Raw genomic sequence first — 20,673 nt, 5'->3', positions numbered from 1 at the left:
AAAATAGTTCAACAAAATCTCACTAACTAGAATCCTTTAATTAATATGTACTTGTCTTTACACATGACTTTCAGGAAAAAGAGTTAAGAATACCAATAGGCCAGGCACAGTGGCTCACGCCTATAATCCCAGCACTTTGGGAGGCCGAGGCAGGTGGATCACCTCAGGTCAGGAGTTCGTGACCAGCCTGGCCAACATGGCGAAACCCCGTCTCTACTAAAAATACAAAAATTAGCTGGGCGTGATGGCAGGCGCCTATAATCCCAGCTACTCAGGAGGCTGACGCAGGAGAATCGCTTGAACCCAGGACACGGAGGTTGCAGTGAGCCGAGATGGTGTCATTGCACTCCACACTGAGCAACGGGAGCAAAACTCTGACTCACAAAAAAAAAAAAAAAAAAAGAATAGCAATAATTTAAAAAAAAATTCCACAGTATATACAAGGTCATCTGACAGCCCAAAATTTAGTTTTTATTTTCATTAAGGTTAACTGTGAGCATGCTTTATTTTTCTTTGTTTTCGAGTCAGGGTCTTGCTTTGTCTCAAAGGCTGGAGTGCTGAGGTGCTATCACAGCTCACTGCAGCCTCAACCTCCTGGGCTCAAGTGATCCTCCTGCCTCAGCCTCCTGAGTAGCTGGGACTACAGGCATGTATCTCCATGCCTGGCTAATTTTTTATTGAGGCAGGGTCTCGCTATATTGCCCAGGCTGGTCTCGAATGCCTGGGCTCAAGCAATCCTCCTATCTTGGCTTCCCAAAGTGTTAGGATTACAGGCATGAGCCACCATGCCCAGCCAGAAGCACTTTCTAACGTTTGTTTGATAGTCACTTATTCTAATAAGTGCTACTTTGTGATTCTTCACAGTTATTGGCTATAAATCTCCAACTATGAAAGAAGAGAATTTAATTATCTTTCAATCATCTTGAACCCAGTAATGCATAAATATTTAACTAGTGTCATTCTCAATTCTTTCTACATAGTGAAGTCTTCCTTTTGGATAGAACAATAATCAATGTTTAGTTTACTATGCCTATAAAAATATTCTCAGCTAAGCCATAAGTTTTCCCCTATTTAAAACATTTTTTTTTTTCCTGGAAATACTGTGTTGCTATTCCCAAGGTTAGTTTCCTATATAATTGACACTAATTCAGGCCCAATCTTCTCCGGAATAGTCTAACTGTCCTCTCGATATGTTCAAATACATCAGGAGTTCTGCAGTTTTCATCCCCTTGGTGATCTCTCTCCTGGAGCATCCTGACTGTCTCCAAACTGGACGGTTCCCCATATGTGACACACAGGTATCATTCTGGAATTTCTCCTTACCATCATCCTAGGCCGTTCTTCAGCCTGTTTTGAATTAGATACATATTACTAGATCCCATGTCATTCTCCTTCTCAGTTCCTTTGAATCACCTACCTCTTCCAGACCTTCCCCAGAAAAATCTCTTTTTGAGACCTTACAAGTCTGAAAATGTCTTTATTCTACCTACACTTAACTGACAGTTTGGCTGGGTATCTAAGTTGGTAACAATTTTCACCACAAACTTTGAAGGTGACTGCTCCCTCTCTGCATCCGGTGTTGCTAATGAGAAGCCAAACAATTTTAATTCCAGATCCTTTGTGTGTGACCTAGTTTTTCCTCTCTGGAAATGTTTAGGGTTAATGGTTTATTGTGTATTCTGAAATTTCACAATTATGGGGTCTGCCTTCCTTCAATACGTTAGGCACTTGGCAGTCCCTTTCTTTTATCTTCGTTGCAGAGATGAGGTCTTGCTGTGTGACCCAGGCTGGCCTGGAACTCCTGGCCTCAAGTGATCCCCCAGTCTCAGCCTCCCAAAGTGCAAGGATTAGAGCTATGAGCCACCCTTCCCAGCCAACAGGCCCTTTCAATCTAGAAAGTTCTGTCCTTCAATATAAAATTTCTTTGAACTATGTCTTTGATGATTTTCTATCCTACTTTTTTTCTTTTTTTCTCGTATCATTCTCATTGGACCTTCTGGATAATTCCACCAGTATTCTTATCTTTACTCTCCTATTTGAACCTCTTTATTTTACTCCTTTTATTGTACTTTCTGGAATATTTCTTCAACTCTATCTTCTATAGTACTGGGTTTTTCATTTTTACTATATTTAACCTCAACCATAAGCAAATAAATACCAAGCTAAAACAATGAGACTTTTTTCTTTTTCTTTTGCCTGTGAGTTTTGGCCAATATAAAAAAGTTTCATAATACCTAATGTTGGCTAAATGTGCGAAAACAATAAATGAAAGTTCTTTGAAGAACAACTTTACAATATCTATCAAAATTCACAAAACATGTAAAACTCTTGACTCAGTAATTTTACCTCTAGGAATTTACCATGCATTTATACTTGTACAAATGTTCAAAAATATAGATATAAGCATTATTTGTTAATAGCAAAAAAAAAAAATCTTAAATATCCAACAGGAAGCAATTGATTATATAAACCATAATTATACCTGAAATATGCAACAATTTCAAAAACAACATTGATCTAGATATGGTGATACTGAATGACTTCTAAATGATTTAAGTGTGAAAAGCAAGATGGATACATAATTGTTTTCGGCTAGCCAGTAAGTGTTTAATGTGACTCCTAAATCCTGGATGTTCTTTTTTTTTTTGATGGAGTTTCGCTCTTGTCGCCCAGCTGGAGTGCAATGGTGTGATCTTGGCTCACTGCAACCTCCACCTCCCAGGTTCAAGGGATTCTCCTGCCTCAGCCTCCTGAGTAGCTGGGGATTACAGGCACCTCCCACCACACCCGGCTAATTTTTATATTGTTAGTAGAGATGGTGTTTCACCATGTTGACCAGGCTGGTCTCGAACTGCTGACCTCAGGTGACCCACCTGCCTCGGTCTCCCAAAGTGCTGGGATTACAGGCGTGAGCCACCGTGCCAGCCGATCCTAGATGTTCTTAAAAGTAGTAAATCTTTATTTTCTGAAAACTATTCTATAAAGGATTGACTACCTCTATTTCAGACTTTATTTGTTGTATTTCACACAAATAGCATTCGTAAAAATACTTAAAGATTTTAGATAAATTATGTTATGCCAGATTTTTTTTTTTTGAGACGAAGTTTCGCTCTTGTTACCCAGGCTGGAGTGCAGTGGTGCGATCTTGGCTCACCGCAACCTCTGCCTCTCGAGTTCAAGCGATTCTCCTGCCTCAGCCTCCCGAGTAGCTGGGATTACAGGTATGCACCACCACACTAGGCTAATTTTGTATTTTTAGTAGAGATGGGGTTTCTCCATGTCATTCAGGCTGGTGTTGAACTCCTGACCTCAGGTGATCTGCCTGCCTTGGCCTCCAAAAGTGCTGGGATTACAGGTATGAGCCACCATGTCCAGCTTTTTTTTTCTTTTTTAAGAGACAGTGTCTCACTATGTTGCCCCAGCTAGTCTTCAACTCCTGGCCTCAAGTGATCCTCCCACCTCAGCCTCCCAAAGTGCTGAATGAGCCTCTTATTTTCAGTAGTGTGCTAGGACTGGATTGTACTGGATCAAAAGGATATATTGTTAAATATGTATTCAAGAAAGCTGGTTGTTAATTGTAGCTAAAAATTGGCCATGGTGGGAGTATTCAAACCATGGAAATCAGCAAATACTACCAATCAGGGCTTTTTTTCTTTTCCTTCTGGAAAACTGATTTAGTAGTACAATCATCACCCCTATTTATACATAGGTGGGTTTAGTGAAATTATTTGGTTTCTGGAGATTCAGATCTATTTAGCAACGAGTCATTTCAATCATAACTATGGCATTCTTTATCTCATCTTCCATATTAGAAGTACTCTTGTCCAAGTTAATCAGATTATTTTTTAAGGTAGTAACAATCTATTCAAACATTAGCTTACCACTTATAACAGATATAAATTAGTCCAAACTGAAATACCTTTCTCCATTATATTCTTCTAGGGGAATTTCTTGAAAAGCATCCAAAGGAAACAAATGATGGTAAGACCGTGCCAAGTGGGGAGCAGACACCAAAGTAAGACCTAACACATTAAGCAGAGAGACATGTTGAGTAGTCCAAACCTCATGAAGACAACGGCTGAAAAGCCAAAAGATGTAACTTCAGCAGAATATGTTCAGTTTCTTTTAGGATGGCAGTTATTAATTTTACCTGTGGCTATAACAGAAGATTGTAGGATGGAGTCTTAGTTCTGTCACTAAGTGTGTAACCAACCTGTCTCGGTCTATTTGCTTACTTATATTATAAATGAAATAAAATTCGACAATTCTATTAGTTTAATTCTTCATTCTTATATATATTTACTTTATAAAGGTAAGAGATGGAAAAATGTCTACTACATCTACTGCACTGCCTTTAAAGAATATACTTTTTTCAGAAAGAGGATCAGGAAACTAGAATGCTACATTTATACATGGAAGTGGAGTACTGGGCACTCAATTTAAAAAGTAATCTATTTTTCTTTGCACAGATTAAATCCAGAAACATAGGAATAACTTAACATTTACATTAATTTTAGCAGCAATACAGATTAAGAAGTCATTCAAGATTTACTGAATAATGAATAGTTGTTTTCTTACCACAGATTTTACATTCAACAGGTAGCTCACAGTACTTTGCCCGACACTGTGGGCAGAAATAGCCTCCTAATGTAAGCCCTGGCTCAGTATTGCCATCCAAATGCCTGTAGGGGGAAAAAGGGTAATATATAATGATCTGAAAAGTTAGAGCGGGAAAGCATGCTATCTTGACCTTAAAATCTTGACACTATTTAAAAATCTATTTAAAAGTCTGTATTTTTGGCCGGGCGCAGAGGCTCACACCTGTAATCCCAGCACTTTGGGAGGCCAAGGCGGGTGGATCACCTGAGGTCAGGAGTTCAAGACCAGCCTGGCCAACACGGTGAAGCCCCATCTCTACTAAAAAATACAAAAATTAGCCAGGCGCCTGTAATCCCAGCTACTTGGGAGGCTGAAGTAGAATTGCTTGAACCCAGGAGGCAGAGGTTGCAGTGAGCTGAGATTGCACCACTGCACTCCAGCCCGGGTGCCAAGAGTGAAACTCCATCTCAAAAAAAAAACAAAAGAAGTCTATATTTAAAAAAAAATTTATAACTTATATAGAGATGGGGGTCTCTCACTATATTGCTGGTCTTGAATTCCTAGCCTCAAGTGATCCACCTGCCTTAGCTTCCCAAAGTGCTGGGATTATAGGTGTGAGCCACCATGCCTGGTCTAAAAGTCTATTTTAAAATCTGTGAGTATGTCTTATAACTAAATTATGCTACATTCATTTTTTTCCCCCTCTTCATTTTTTTTTTTTTTTTTGAGACGGCTTCTCACTCTGTTGCCCAAGCTGGAGTGCAGTGGCACAATCTCAACTCACTACAATCTCCGCCTCCCAGGTTCAAGCAATTCTCGTGCCTTGGCTTCCTGAGTAGCTGGGATTACAGGCACGTGCTACCACACCCAGCTAATTTTTGTATTTTTAGTAGAGATGGGGTTTCATCATGTTGGCCAGGCTGGTCTCAAACTCCTGGTCTCAAGTGATCTGCCTGCCTTGGCCTCCCAAAGTGCTGGGATTACAGATGTGAGCCACTACACCCAGCCCTTCTCTTCATTTTTAAAGTCTCTATTACTATCTTTGAATTCACTAATTTTTTCTTCTGCAGTGTCTAATCTGCTGTTAATCCCAGCCAATATATTTTTCATCTAAAACACTGTATTCTTCATCACTAGAAGTTTGATTTGGGTCTTTTTTATACCTTCCATATCTCTTCTTACCATTCTCATGTTCTCTAACATCCTGAACATACAGAGTACATTTATAATTGTTGTCCTAACATCTTTGTCTACTAATTCTTTTTTTTCTTTTTTGATAAGAGTCTCGCTCTGTCACCCAGGCTGTAGTGAAATGGCACGATCTCAGCTCGCTGCAACCTTTACCTCCTGGGTTCAAGTCATTCTTGTACCTCAGCCTCCCAAGTAGCTGGGATTACAGGCGTGTGCCACCAGGCCTGGCTAATTTTTGTGTTTTTAGTAGAGATGGGTTTCGCCATGTTGGCTGTGCTGATCTCGAACTCCTGGGCTCAAGTGATCTGCCCACCTGAGCCTCCCAAAGTGCTAGCATTACAGGCAGGAGCTACCGCACCCAACCCTTTGTCTATTAATTCTACCAACTGGGTTATTTCTGGGTATGTTTCCATTCTGTGATTTTTCTCCATTTTATGGGTCATATTTTCCTTTGCATCCCTGGTAATTTCTGCCAGGGACTATGAATTTTGCTTTGCCAGACATTGTGAATTTTGCTTTGTTTTGGGGGCTGGATTTTTTCTTTTTTTTTTTTTTTTGTATTCCCTCAAATATTTAAGGGTTTGTTCTGAAATATACTTCATTAACTTGGAAATAGTTTAATCTCTTCAAAATTTGCTTTTAAACTTTGGTAGGCTGGTCTAGAACAGCTGTTAGTCTAGATTTTTCTTTTCTTTTCTTTTCTTTTTGCCTCTGGTTCCAGTTCTTGTGATAGAATTAATTTGATCCCATTACTGTGGACTCTATTCAATGCCTGTCATGTTAAGAGGTATTTCCATACAGACTGGTGAGAACATGAATGTTCTCTGTGTGAGCTCTGGAAACTGTTCTGTCTGCTGCTTTCCAGTGATTTTTTCCCTGACTTCCAGTAGTCTCCTCACACAAAAGGGCTGATCAACGCTCAGCTGCTGACTCATGAGCAAGTCTATGCAGCTCCCCAGAGAGTTCTCTCTGTGCAGATCTTTCCTCTCCAGTACTCTGACCTGCAAAATTATCGCCATCTCAGCCTCCTTGAAAGATGAACTTTGTTTCTTCAACTCAACAACATCTCCAGCCTCTGTGTGCAGCCTGGAAATTCCATCCAGGCAGTAAGGTGGAGTGCTCTTAGGGCCCATCTCATTTGTTTCCTTTCTTTCAGGGATCATTATCAGCAAGGCTTGCTGTCCAACGTCTGAAAACCACTGTTTTATATATTTTGTCTGCTTTTTTTGACAGGAGGGTAAATCTAGTCCCTGTTACAGCTTTTTGGCTGGAGGCAGAAATCTTGTTTGTGATTTTTAAGAATTACTCTCTTAAATTTAATTTTGTTTTATAATTATGTAAAATACAAAGCTCTGAAGTTAAAACAAGGTACAGTAATATTCTATATAACATTTTGGTCAGTGATGAACCACATATATGACAGTGGTCCCATAAAATAATACATTTTAGTTGTACCTTTTCTGTGTTTAGTTAAACAAACACTAGGTGTTACATTACAACTGCCTACATTATTCAGTACACAATATGCTGTACAGGTGTGCAGCCTAGGAGCAATAGGCTATACTATATAACTGCGATGTTAGTAGGCTACACTATCTAGGTTTGTGTAAGTGCACTCTGTGATGTTTGCACAATGATGGTATCACCTAATGACGCATTTCTCGGAATGTATCCCTATCATTAAGTGATGCATTCAGAAAAGTCTAGGGTCTAACCCTTTGCTTTTCCCTACACACTCACTGAGGTAAACATTAAAAAAAAAAATTTCCCCCTCCACCCCTTTTAAGTTTTTATTATTTCCATACTATTGTTTTTATTATTAACATAAACAAGTATATACATCCACTTACATCTCTACTTTCTTCTTAGGTGATTAGCAGCATACTACAAAATTCTCTCAAACTACTGTTTTACTTAGTAATTTATCCTGAAGATCACTCCATACAAGTATATAGAGATAGTCTTCATTGCCTATCTTTTGAATTTATAACTTAAAAGAAGGAATTAAAAATGTAAAAACATTATCACTGATATTTTCAAGGTCTTTACTTACGCCATGCTGAAAGAGGGTTTTGCATCCTGGTCAGATAAAGAAGCAATGGTGTGCTGAGGAAATCCTTCATAGAAGAAAATGTATTACTTTCTTTTTCCAAGCAAACAGCAAAATTCTAGGACTAAGAACCTAAAAATGTTCTTCTCAAAAAGCCAATGAAGTTGTACAAAATATCACTTTACTGCCTTTCAGATAAGCTTATTATAGCATGATGAAACTGACTAATTCCAAGCTACAAGAAAAAGTAGAGGAAACGGGGGAAAGACCTGTCTATATATGACCTCAGATTCTGAAGTTCATATATATATTTTTCTTTTTTTTTTTTCTTGAGATGGAGTCTTGTTCTGTCACCCAGGCTGGGGTGCAGTGGCATGATCTTGGCTCACTGCATCCTCCACTGCCTGGGTTCAAGCGATTCTCCCACCTCACCTTCCCATGTAGCTGGGATTACAGGCATCTGCCACCATGCCCAGCTATATATTTTCTAACTTAATGATTAACACTACTTTTTAAAGAGGTTGTAATTTTTACATCATTTCTGATAAAACTGAAGATATCATAGTACACCTTCATTTTATCTACGTTTATGCTTTTATGTTTAAAATTTTGAAATGCTCAAATCTTTCATGTAATTTGTTTTCCATATACAATTTTAAATTCTGAAAACATGTTCAGGAAAAGCAGAAACCATTTTTAAAAAGATATATTACATAAAAAATGTAAATGTATCTACATATCAAAACAAATAAATAAAAGTAAAGGCAAATAACCAACAAGAAAAATATTTGCATCGGGTGACTGAGAAGGGTTAACATTCCTAAAGGACTCTAATAAATAAATTATAAATTTAAATAACTTTAAAATGAAATAAGAAAATATATCAGTAAATCAAAAAGATTAGCCAAACATAAGATCTAAAATGTATTGAATGTTTACATCAAGCATTATTCTAAACGCATCATCTGTATTAACTCAATCCTTGAAACACACAATAAGGTTGATAGTTACTGACATCATTAAACACATGAGAAGACCGTGGAAAAGAGAGGTCGACTGGTAATATAAAAGGCCAAAAGTAGAAAAGCATTTTATTTCATTAACATTTAAAAACATACATATTAAATAAGGAGATTATTTTTCTATTAAAAGTTATACTTTTTTCAATATAAATGTAATAAATTTTCATTGTAACATTTAACATTTTTGTAAAATAGAAGAAAATAACATTTTAAAAAAGTGATCCAAGGCCGGGCACAGTGGCTCAAGCCTGTAATCCCAGCACTCTGGGAGGCCGAGGCGGGCGGATCATGAGGTCAGAAGTTCAAGACAAGCCTGGCCAACATGGTGAAACCCCGTCTCTACTAAAAATACAAAAATTAGCTGGGCATGGTGGTGCCCGCCTGTAATCCCAGCTACTCGGGAGGCTGAGGCAGGAGAATTGCTTGAACCTGGGAAGCGGAGGTTGCAGTGTGAGCTGAGATCGCACCACTGCACTTCCAGCCTAGGAAATAGAATGAGACTCCATCTCAAAAAAAAAAAGAAAAAAAAAAGTGATCCAAAACCAATAATTTCCCCTCCTTTGAGCAATTTGGTGTACTTCCCTGCAAGCTTTGTCTTTGCACAGTTTGCATTACACAGCTTTGATCATCCAGTACAGAGAATTTTGTAGCTTATTTTATTTTTATTTTATTTTATTTTTTTGAGACAGAGTCTTGCTCTGTCACCCAGACTGGAGTGCAGTGGCGCAATCTCAGCTCATGGCAACCTCCGCTTCCTGAGTTCAGGCAATTCTCCTGTCTCAACCTCCTGAGTAGCTGGGATTACAGATGTCTGCCACCATGCCCAGCCATTTTTTGGTAATTTTTAGTAGAGACAGGGTTTCGCCATGTTGGCTAGGGTGGTCTCAAACTCCTGACCTCAGGTGATCCGCTAGCCTCGGCCTCCCAAAATGCTAGGATTACAGGCATGAGCCACCACGCCCGGCCTTTGTAGCTTATTTTAAAAAATTTTTAATATAAGTGTTTTTCTTTTGTTTTCTTTTTTGAGACAGAGTCTCGCTCTGTCGCCCAGGCTAGAGTGCAGTGGTGTGATCTCGGCTCATTGCCAGCTCTGCCTCCCGGGTTCATGCCATTCTCCTGCCTCAGCCTCCCGAGGAGCTGGGATTACAGGCGCCCGCCACCACGCCTGGCTAATTTTTTGTATTTTTAGTAGAGATGGGGTTTCACCGTGTTAGCCAGGATGGTCTCGATCTCCTGACCTCAAGATCCGCCCACCTCGGCCTCCCAAAGTGCTGGGATTACAGGCGTGAGCCACCGAGCCCGGCTTAATATAAGTATTTTTCTATAAACACAGTTTATACCTTTCTAGCCTTAAAAATAAAGAAAGCCAACAGTATTTTCTGGGTGACAGGACTACTGGTAGTTTTAATTTTTTTTTTCCACTTCTCTGTACTTTCCAAAATTGCTTCAACAAGCATATTTTTTCTTTAAAAATTCTTAAATATTAAAATAACTTGTGCAAATGAAAATAGAGAGCCTAGATATGTATTTTTTAAAAACATAAAAACACTTACCCATACGAATAAGTGAGCATTCAGAACTTGAGCTAGCAGGAGGAGGACTAACATGATGTGTGAGCAACTCTTTGTAATGGCTTTCATCTAAAATAACATGGTACGTGCCTAACAAGATGAAAAGGGAAAAAAAAACACCTTCATAGACATAACGAACTGTACGTTCTACGTAATTCTGTAAAAGTTGTATCATCTGAAAATGTACATTTTTAAAATAATGATTTTAGCTAAATTATCACTTTTAAAACCTTATTTAAGTAATATATCTAAATCAACTTCTCTAGGAATAACTATAATTACAATTGATTATTATTACTACTATTATTATTTTAACATATAAATAGAGACAGGTCTCACTATGTTAACCAGACTGATCTCAAACTTCTGGCCTCAAGTGATTCTCCTGCCTTGGCCTACCAAAATGTTGAGATTACAGGCATGAGCTATCATGCCTGGCCTGTAATTACAATTTAATTAAAGACAAGTTATAAAATCTTTATAAAGAATTACATACAGTAAAATTTCCAGCTTTCCAAGAGTTATAATACCTCCTCTAAATACTGACATAAGTACTGAAAACTCTTTGCATTTGGAGATGATTTCTTATGGAATCAATGATATATTTAAGATGACTGCCCATATTTTAGACTACTTTAAGTTTAGTAGCTCAGAACAGATTAAAACATCCTAATTTAATTAATAAATTATTTCCTACACAGTAATTATAAGCAAATATTAAATAAATTATATATATACCACCAGTTTCACGAGCAAGTACAGTGCAAACGCGAACTTCTGCAGACAATCCAGTAACAGATACTCTAATTTTAGCTGCCTTTAGGGTCTTCATAAAATCCAAGTAGATAGATAGTTTTAGGAAAGAAGAAAAACATTTAAGATTTAATGTATTTGAAAAATAAAGAATGCTCTGAAAACTAGTAATAAATTCAATACATCTACCACAAAGATGAATCACACATACAAAAATACATATATATATAAATCAATTTGCTACAGAATTCTCTTTACAGTTATAACTTTGGTTTTGATTTTTTGGTCTACCTTGATTAGATCATAAATATTAGATGGATCGCAAGTTGTAAGGCTGCTAAAGATGATTAGTACTTCTCGACTTGTATGTCCAGGCATGTGTCTTAAAAGAAAGATAAAATACACTCCAATTAGGTACAACAAATTATACTACCAAAAAATTTACCCAGAAAGAACAGTAAACATAGGATTACACATTTAGACTATAGAATATCTCATTTGTTTCAACAATGCAAAGAAAGGTTGTGAGTATATTTTAAACACTTTAATGCAAATTTTTCTAAAATGAGCTATGCACTTCAAAAAATTGTTAATTGATTCATTTAATATTTACCAAGTACTCTCAAGTTCTGGGGGTAGAGTGATAAACAAGACTGACAATGTTCCCGACATCATTAAGCTTACATTCTAGTAGGTTTGTTTCATACAAAGTCTAGAGTATACAATAAAAAATACAACAATATATGGATAAACTTTAAACTAAAATGTGGCAATATCATATGGATCAGCTTTAAAGTGCAGAGATGTGGCTTCAAAACAGTAACACACACTTCTTTCTCAAAGACTATAGTAGTCCCCTCTTATCTGCAGAGGATACATTCCAAGACCCCCAGTGGATACCTGAAATCAAGGATAGTACTGAACCCTATATATACAGTCGTTCTTCGGTATCCTTGGGGGATTGATTTCAGGCCCTCCTATGGATACCAAAATCTGCAGATGTTCAAGTCCCAGATACAAAAGGGCGTAGTATTTGCATATAACCTATGTACATCCTCCCATATATTTTAAGTCATCTCTAGATTATTGATAATACCTAATACAATGTATACTATGTAAGTAATTGTTATCCTCTATTATTTAGGGGATAATGGCAAGAAAAAATGTCTATTTGTTCAGTACAGGTACAATTTTTTTCCAAAAATTTTTGATGCGTGGTTGATCGAATTCACAGAAGCAGAACCCAGGATTCAGAGGGCTGATTATACCATGTTTTTCCCTATACAGGCATACCTTGGAGATACTGCAGGGTTGGATTCCAGACCGCAGCAATAAAGCAAATATCACAATAAATATTTGCAATAAAGCAAGTCACATGAACTTTCAGGTTTCCTAGTGTATATAAAAGTTCTGTTTACGGCCAGGGATGGTGACTCACGCCTGTATTCCCAGCACTTTGGGAGGCTGAAGCGGGCACATCACGAGGTCAGGAGATCGAGACCATCCTGGCTAACACGGTGAAACCCCGTCTCTACTAAAAATACAAAAAAATGAGCCGGACGTGGTGGCAGGAGAATGGTGTGAACCCAGGAGGCGGAGCTTACAGTGAGCCAAGATTGCGCCACTGCACTCCAGCCTGGGCGACAGAGCGAGACTCCGTCTCAAAAAAAAAAAAAAGAAAGAAAAAGAAAAGTTCTGTTTACACTATACTGTAGTCTAGTAAGTGTGCAACAGCATTATATCTAAAAAAAAAAAGTACACACCTTTATGAAAAATACTTTATTGCTAAAAATCGACTGAACTGTCAGTGAATAATATCTTTTTGTTGAAGGAGAGTCTTGCCTTGATATTGATGGCTGCTGACTGATCAGAGTGGTGCTTTCTGAAGGGTGAGGTGGCTATGGCAATTTCTTAAAATAAGACAAAGTAGTTTGTTACATGGGTCAACTCTTCCTTTCATGAAAGGAATGCAAATGCTGTTTGGTAGCATTTTATTCATAGTAGTACCTCTTTCAAAATGGGAGTCATTCCTTTGAAACCCCACTGATGCTTTACCAACTAAGTTTATGGGCTATTCTTTTTTTGTTTTGAGACTGATTCTTGCTCTGACACCCAGGCTGGAGTGCAGTGGTGCGATCTCGGCTCACTGCAACCTCTGCCTCCTGGGTTCAAGCAATTCTCCTGCCTTAGCCTCCCCAGTAGCTGGGATTACAGGCATGCACCACCATGCCCAGATAATTTTTGTATTTTTAGTGAGGACGGGTTTCACCATGTTGGCCAGACTAGTCTTGAACTCCTGACCTCAAGTGATCCATCCGCCTCGGCCTCCCAATGTGCTGGGATTACAGGCATGAGCCACCATGCCCAGCCAGTGTAGATATTTTGACCTCTTTCTATGAATGGCATTTAGAATGGTGAATTCTTTCCAGAAGGTTTTCAATGTACTTTGCTCAGATCCATCTATGGCAGTCACAGCCTTATGATATGTATTTCTTAAATAATCAAGACGTGAAAGTTCAAAGTATTCCTTTATCCAAGGGTTGCAGAATGAGTGCTATGTTAGTAGATATGAAAATAACATTAATCTTCTTGTACATCTCAATTAGAGCTCTTGGGTGACTGGGTGCATTGTCAATGAGCAATAATATTTTGAAATAAATCTTTTTTCTGAGATATATCTCAACAATGGGCTTAAAATATTCAGTAAGCCCATGCTGTAAACAGATGTGCTGTTATCTGGGCTTTGTTATTCCATTTGCAGAGCACAGACTGAATAGATTTAGAATAATTCTTAAGGACTCTAGGATTTTCAGAATGGTAACAAACATTGGTGCCAACATCAAGTCACCAGCTGTATTAGCCCCTAACAAGAGAAGAAGCCTATCCCATGAAGCTCTGAAACCAGGCATTCACTTCTTCTAGCTATGAAAATCCTAGATGGCATCTCCTTCCAACAGAAGGCTGTTTCATTTACATTGAAAATATGAGGCCAGGTGCAGTGGCTCATGCTTGTAATCCCAGCACTTTGGGAGGCAGAGGCGGAGGACTGCTTGAGCCCAGGAGTTCAAGACCAGCTGGGCAATGTGGCGAAACCCTACCTCTACAACAACAACAACAACAAAAATTAGCTGGGTGTGGTGGCACATGCCTGTAGTCCCTGCTACTTGTGGGGCTGGGAGAATAGCTTGAGCCTGGGAGTTTGAGGCTGCAGTGATCCATGATTGCACCACTGCACTCTAACCTGGGTGACAGAGCGAGACCCTCTCTCAAAAACAAAAAAGAAAAAGAAAATTTGATATTTAGTGTAGTCACCTTCATCAATTATTTTAGCTAGATCTTCTGGATAACTTGCTGCAGCTTCTACATCAGCACTTGCTGCTTCCTCTTGCACTTTTTTTTTTTTTATTTTGAGACGGAGTCTCACAGTGTCGTCTGGGCTAAAGTGCAATGGCGCGATCTCGGCTCACTGCAACCTCTGCCTCCTGGGTTCATGCGATTCTCCTGCCTCAGCCTCCCGAGTAGCTGGGATTATAGGCGCACACCACCACACCTGGCTAATTTTTTGTATTTTTAGTAGAGACAGGGTTTCACTATGTTGGCCAGACTGGTCTTGAACTCCTGACCTCATGATCTGCCCACCTTGGCCTCCCAAAGTGCTGGGATGACAGGCGTGAGCCACCGCGCCCAGCCCCTCTTACACTTTTATGTTTTGGAGATGGCTTCTTTCATTAACCTCATGAGCTCAGCTCTGTTAGCTTCAAACTTTTCTTCTGCAGCTTCCTCACTGCTCTCAGCCTTCATAGAATTGAAGAGAATTAGAGCCTTGCTTTGGATTAGGATTTGACTTAATGGACTGTTGTGGCTACTTTAATCTTCTATCTAGACCATTAAAACTTTGTCTGTATCAGCAATAAAGCTGTTTCACTTTCTTATCATTCATGTGTCCACTGAAGCAGCACTTTGAATTTCCATTATTTTTTTCTTATTTTGAGACAGGATCTTGCTCTATCATACAAGCTGGAGTACAGTAGCACAATCGTAGCTCACTGCAGCCTCAAACTACTGGGCTCAATCCTCCTGCCTCAGCCTCCTGAGAAGTTAGGGACTACATACAGGTGCTCGCCACTGTGCCTGGCTAATTTTTTTTTTTTTTTTTTTTTTTTGTAGAGATGGAGGTCTTGCTATGTTACCAGGACTGGTCTCAAACTCATGGCCTCAGGTGATCCTCCCATCTTAGCCTCCCAAAGTGTTGCAGTTACAGGTAAGAGCCACCACGCACAGCCCAGCACTTTCAATTTCCTTCAAGAACTTTACCTTTGCATTCACAATGTGACTAAGTGTTTAGCACAAGAGACCTAGCCTTCAGCCAGTCTTGCATTTTGACATGCCTTCCTCACTAAGCTCAATCATTTCTAGCTTTTGATTTAAAGTGAGACATGCGACTCCTCCTTACTCTTGAACACTCAGAGGCCACTGGAGGGTTATTATTGGTGTAACTTGAATATTTTTGTGTCTTAGGAGATGGGGGGGCCGAACAGAGGGAGAGAGACTGGAAAACAGCCAGTTGGTGGAGCAGTCAGAACACACGTAACACTTATCAATTAAGTCTGTTGTCTTATATGGGCGCAGTTTGTGGTGCCCTAAAATAATTACAATAGTAACATCAAAGATCACTGATCACAGATCACCATAACAGATATAACAATAATTTACAAAGCTTGAAATATTGCAAGAACTACCAAAGTGTGATATAGAGGCAAGAAGTGAGCACATGCTGTTAAAAAAAAAATGGCACCAACAGACTTGCTCAACAGAGTTGCCATAAACTGTCAGTTTGTAAAAAAAAAAGTTATCTGAAAAGTGCAATAAAAGTGCAACAAAATGAGGTGTGCCTTACATACACACCTATGATCAATAATGTATAAATTAGGCACAATAAGAGATTAACAACAATAACTAATAATGGAACATTTATAACAACGTGCCGGCATCACTACTCCTGCACTTTGAGGTCATTATTAAGTAAAATAACACAAACACTGCAATAGTTTTGACAGTCAATAACAACAGTTAATCTGATGACTTAGGCCATTACATGGGTGGGCAGCATATACTGTGAGGATCTACAGGACCAAGGGATGATTCACGTCCTGGGCAGGACAGAGAGGGAAGGTGTAGGATCTCATCACGCTACCCAGAATGGCACACAACTTAAATCTTATGAATTATTTATTACTGAAGTTTTCAATTTAATATTTTCAGACCAAGAGTAACTAAAACTGGAAAGTGAAACTGCAGATAAGGGGGGATTACTATAATTTAACCTCACAGTAATTCAGAGTCATAATAATCATGAACATTAATATTGCATACCATTTAATTAAAATGATAGCTTGTAGAGTTTTAAGTTGTGGTGACCAGTTTTCACCTACACTAAATAGACGTTTTTATGCTTTCTGCAGCAATTTTATCAATTAGTTATAGCTTTCCTGCTTATATTTTCATTGTTATCGTCTCAGCTCTCACTGGTAGACCCTACTACTGTACTTACCTCTATTACATGTGTTGCCTCCTTCTCATCCACTTCAAAACTAGAAAAATATCTATTATATAAAGGTATAAGTCTGAGCCAGGGCAGACTATCCAGAGATAAAATATATAAGCTTTAGGGAGGCTGAGGTGGGCGGATCGCTTGAGGCCAGGAGTTCAAGACCAGCCTGGCTAACATGATGAAACCCCATCTGTACTAAAAATACAAAAATTGGCTGGGCATGGTGGCACACACCTGTAATCCCAGCACTAGGGAGGCTGAGGCACAAGAATCACTTGAACCCAGAGGTGGAGGTTGTAGTGAGCTGAGATCACGCCACTGCATGCCAGCCTGGGTGACAGAGCAAGACTCTGTCTCGAAAAAATATATATGTGTGTGTGTGTGTGTGTGTGTGTGTGTGTGTGTGTGTGTGTGTGTATAATAGACATATAAGCTTTAACTTATATATGTAAGTTTAACATATATATAAGCTTTATATATATATGTATAATAAATTATATATATAATATGTATATAAAGCTTATATATATATATAAGCTTTAACTATACCAAGTATTTCCTTTGGGGTCTTAGCTCTATTCCATATAGCTGAACTTGCCATATCTATTAATTTACAGATATATGACATTGGTGCAAAAGGAATTGTGGTTTTGGCCATTACTTTCAAAATAAATTAATAAATGTTAATAAAGGTACAACCAACTTACAATTATTATACTATATTAAATCTCATTTTAATAAAATATTTTTTCATCAACCTATTTTTGTACTATTGATACTGCCGACAGTTTTAAATTATATTTTTATAAAACCTTTAACAATATCTTACTAAAATGTAAAATAAAAATTACTAACCAACACCACACTAAACATCATAAATAACACTACATAATTCTCGTACTTAACAATTTTGTTATAGCTGGGTTTATGGGCCCCATATTAACACATCACTTCAACTTAACTCATTTAAAAAACTTCTAATTCAATTATACATAATGTATAATACTAACTTTAGAGTCTGCATAGCCATGCTTAGGGAATTATAAAGAGATGGCTCTCCATGGCAGGTCATATCCACAGCTTTCTTCAAAGACGTTATATGTTTTCTTGGGTTTCCTAAAATAGAAATAAGATCTTTAAATAAAATCCTATATATTAAAAAAGTTTATGTTTCTCTCAAAATTTACATATCTATGATGTTAAAGAACAGAATCCTTTCAATGTATATTTCTGTTGGAATTTTATCTGCAATATTTTGTAAACACTCTCACTTCATACTGAAAAACAGAATACAAATAATCTCCTTATAGACTAGCATACATATTTTAAAATAATGCTAACCTAGAGTGCATTTTTTTACTCTTAATATTTCCATATTTCATCATTTTTAAGACCAATACATTTTCACATTTAACATCTCTGAAATCAGCATGTGTTTAATAATCACTGGTAGCCAGCAGCACTTGTAACATAGTCTTTGCCTGTTCATATGTGAACCTACAAATAGGTCTTCATATGTTGTTGCTTCAATTGCATTATGTACATTGTCCTCTTCATGGTGAGTTTAACTGCCATTTAAAATGTTTTTAAGGCCAGGCGCGGTGGCTCACGCCTGTAATCCCAGCACTCTGGGAGACCACGGCAGGCAGATAACCTGAGGTCAGGAGTTTAAGACACACCTGGTCAACATGGTGTAAATCCCATCTGTAGTAAAAATGCAAAAATTAGCTGGGTATGGTGGCATACACCTGTAATCCCAGCCACTAGGGAGGCTGAGGCACAAGAATCACTTAAACCCAGAAGGTGGAGGTTGCAGTGAGCTGAGATTGCACCACCGCACTCCAGCCTGGGCAACAACAGCGAAACTCCATCTCAAAAAACAAACAATAAAATGTTTTTAGAAATGTTGTTAATACAAAAGGCTATATTTTTATGTAGAAAGGTGTGGAACACAGCAGTGAGGCATAAATTTATTATAATGAATCAAATATTGATGGAAGAATGCATGCAATTCCGTATTTTTCTTGAGGGAAGAAATCAAGAACTTTACAAGACCTAAGAAACGAATATTCCCACAAACAGACGAAGCTGTGTTATCTTACCAAATAGCATCTGAAAAGATTGTCTATCTTATGCTAAGCAATTCAAATGAAGGGGGGAGAAGCTGCCAAATCCTTTTTTTTCTTTTTAATATAATATTTTTTTATATTATTTATATTTAGATTATATATATATCTGTTGCCAGGCTGGAGTGCAATGGGGCAATTTTGGCTCAATGCAACTTCCACCTCCCAGGCTCAAACCATCCTCCCACCTCAACCTCCCAAGTAGCTGGGACTACAAGTGCCCAGCACCACACTTGGCTAAATTTTTTTGTATATTTTTGGTAGAGACAGGGTTTCACCATGTTGTCCAGGCTAGTCCTGAACTCCTGGATTCAAGCAATCCTCCCGCCTCAGCCTCTCAAAGTGCTGGGAGTACAGGTGTAAGTCACCACACCTGGCCCCCAAATTTGAGATGTCTGTACATGTCAAATTACCAAGAAGCTAGTATAGCCAACTCATATATCATTTGATACTGTGTCAAAGTTTAACTACTAGGACTTTTCCTTCTTAATGGCTTATAAAAGTATCTTGTAATTGATGGAATCTGAGTTTCAATGAAATATAGTATTCCGTAAACATTTTCCATTTCAGCACTGTCTTCGTATCAATCAATAACCTAAGTATCATTAAATTGATTTTGTCATAAAATATAATCCATCAAAGCATACTATTAAACATTTAATTTTTAATCTGTCACTATTATACATAATGTTACAAAGAGTATCTTTGTAGAGTGATCATTCTCCTTCCATAACATTCCCTAAATATAATTTCAGGAACAATTTTTATGCTTTTCTAAAAAATATTGAACTAATTTGTAAGACTATCAGCACTATAAATAACAGTTTCTCTGTGGTTCCACAAGCAACATATTGCTTTGGAAACTTAATTTTGCTCATTTAAAATATATTAAAAAATAAAATGTTATGTAATTGGGTAGAGTGTTTTTGGATTACTAGTTTCCCTGATTTAATTTCTGGGTTTTTTCTGTGTGAATCATGTCTTCTTTGTCTATTCATCAACTTGGAGCTCCCTTGAGTTTTTACTCATCTGAGTAAGTTTTAAAATATTAACCATTTGTAATATTTAATATTTACTGCAAGTATTTTAGATTCATAAATTTTAGAGATGAAAAGTACCTCGCTAAGCAGTCCAAATCCCTCACTTCATAAGTGAGAAAATTAATCTAAAACAAGTGAAATGACTTGCCCAAAGACATATGCCTGCTTAACTGCAGGACCAGCAGCACCCAAACCTAGATCTCCTGGCTCTCTATCCACTTCTCTTCCTACCCTACAAAATTATTTTTAATCTCCCACTGTGTTATGGGTATAGGAAAAAAGCATACTACAATAGTGTCAGTGTGGTTTACAGCAGTGGTCTGATTGGAGGGAAAAAATGGTGGCTTCAAGAGGCCTGTCAGAATCTCCAGAATATTTTTCATCTTTATACATGACTTCACTAACATCCATAGAAAACTGCTGGGGCCGGGCATGGTGGCTGATGCCTGTAATCCCAACACTTTGGGAGGCTGAGGTGGGTAGATCACCTGAGGTCAGGAGTTCGAGATCAGCCTGGCCAGCATGGTGAAATCCTGTCTCTACTAAAAATAAAATTAGCCAGGTGTGGCAGCGCACACCTGTAATCCCAGCTACTCGGGAGGGGGAGGCAGGAGAATCTCTTGAACCCGGGAGGCGGAGGTTGCAGTGAGCCAAGACAGCACCGCCTGGGCGACAGAGTGAGAGACTCCTTCTCAAAAAAAAAAAAAAAGAAGCAATAGAAAACTGCTGGTAACTCGGGGTGGGTAAAGTGAGAGGAAAATATTGACCTT

At 38.2% G+C, this 20,673-nt stretch overlaps 1 pseudogene across 1 annotated transcript in view; it reads right to left on the bottom strand.

Annotated features, from left to right (window-relative positions):
• Positions 1-20,673, bottom strand: part of GTF2H2B (general transcription factor IIH subunit 2B (pseudogene)) — a 34,993-nt pseudogene that overhangs the window by 4,925 nt on the left and 9,395 nt on the right. The window contains exons 7-13 of the transcript NR_033417.1: positions 17,748-17,853; positions 11,478-11,568; positions 11,172-11,259; positions 10,416-10,523; positions 7,844-7,907; positions 4,579-4,682; positions 3,920-4,022 (exon numbers count right to left, since the gene is read on the bottom strand). The product of NR_033417.1 is annotated as a general transcription factor IIH subunit 2B (pseudogene) (transcript). The remainder of the gene's footprint in view (positions 1-3,919; positions 4,023-4,578; positions 4,683-7,843; positions 7,908-10,415; positions 10,524-11,171; positions 11,260-11,477; positions 11,569-17,747; positions 17,854-20,673) is intronic.

This window comes from Homo sapiens, chromosome 5 (assembly GCF_000001405.40).
Source record: "Homo sapiens chromosome 5, GRCh38.p14 Primary Assembly".
Taxonomy (NCBI): domain Eukaryota; kingdom Metazoa; phylum Chordata; class Mammalia; order Primates; family Hominidae; genus Homo; species Homo sapiens.
This window is presented reverse-complemented; position numbering and strand designations above follow the sequence as displayed.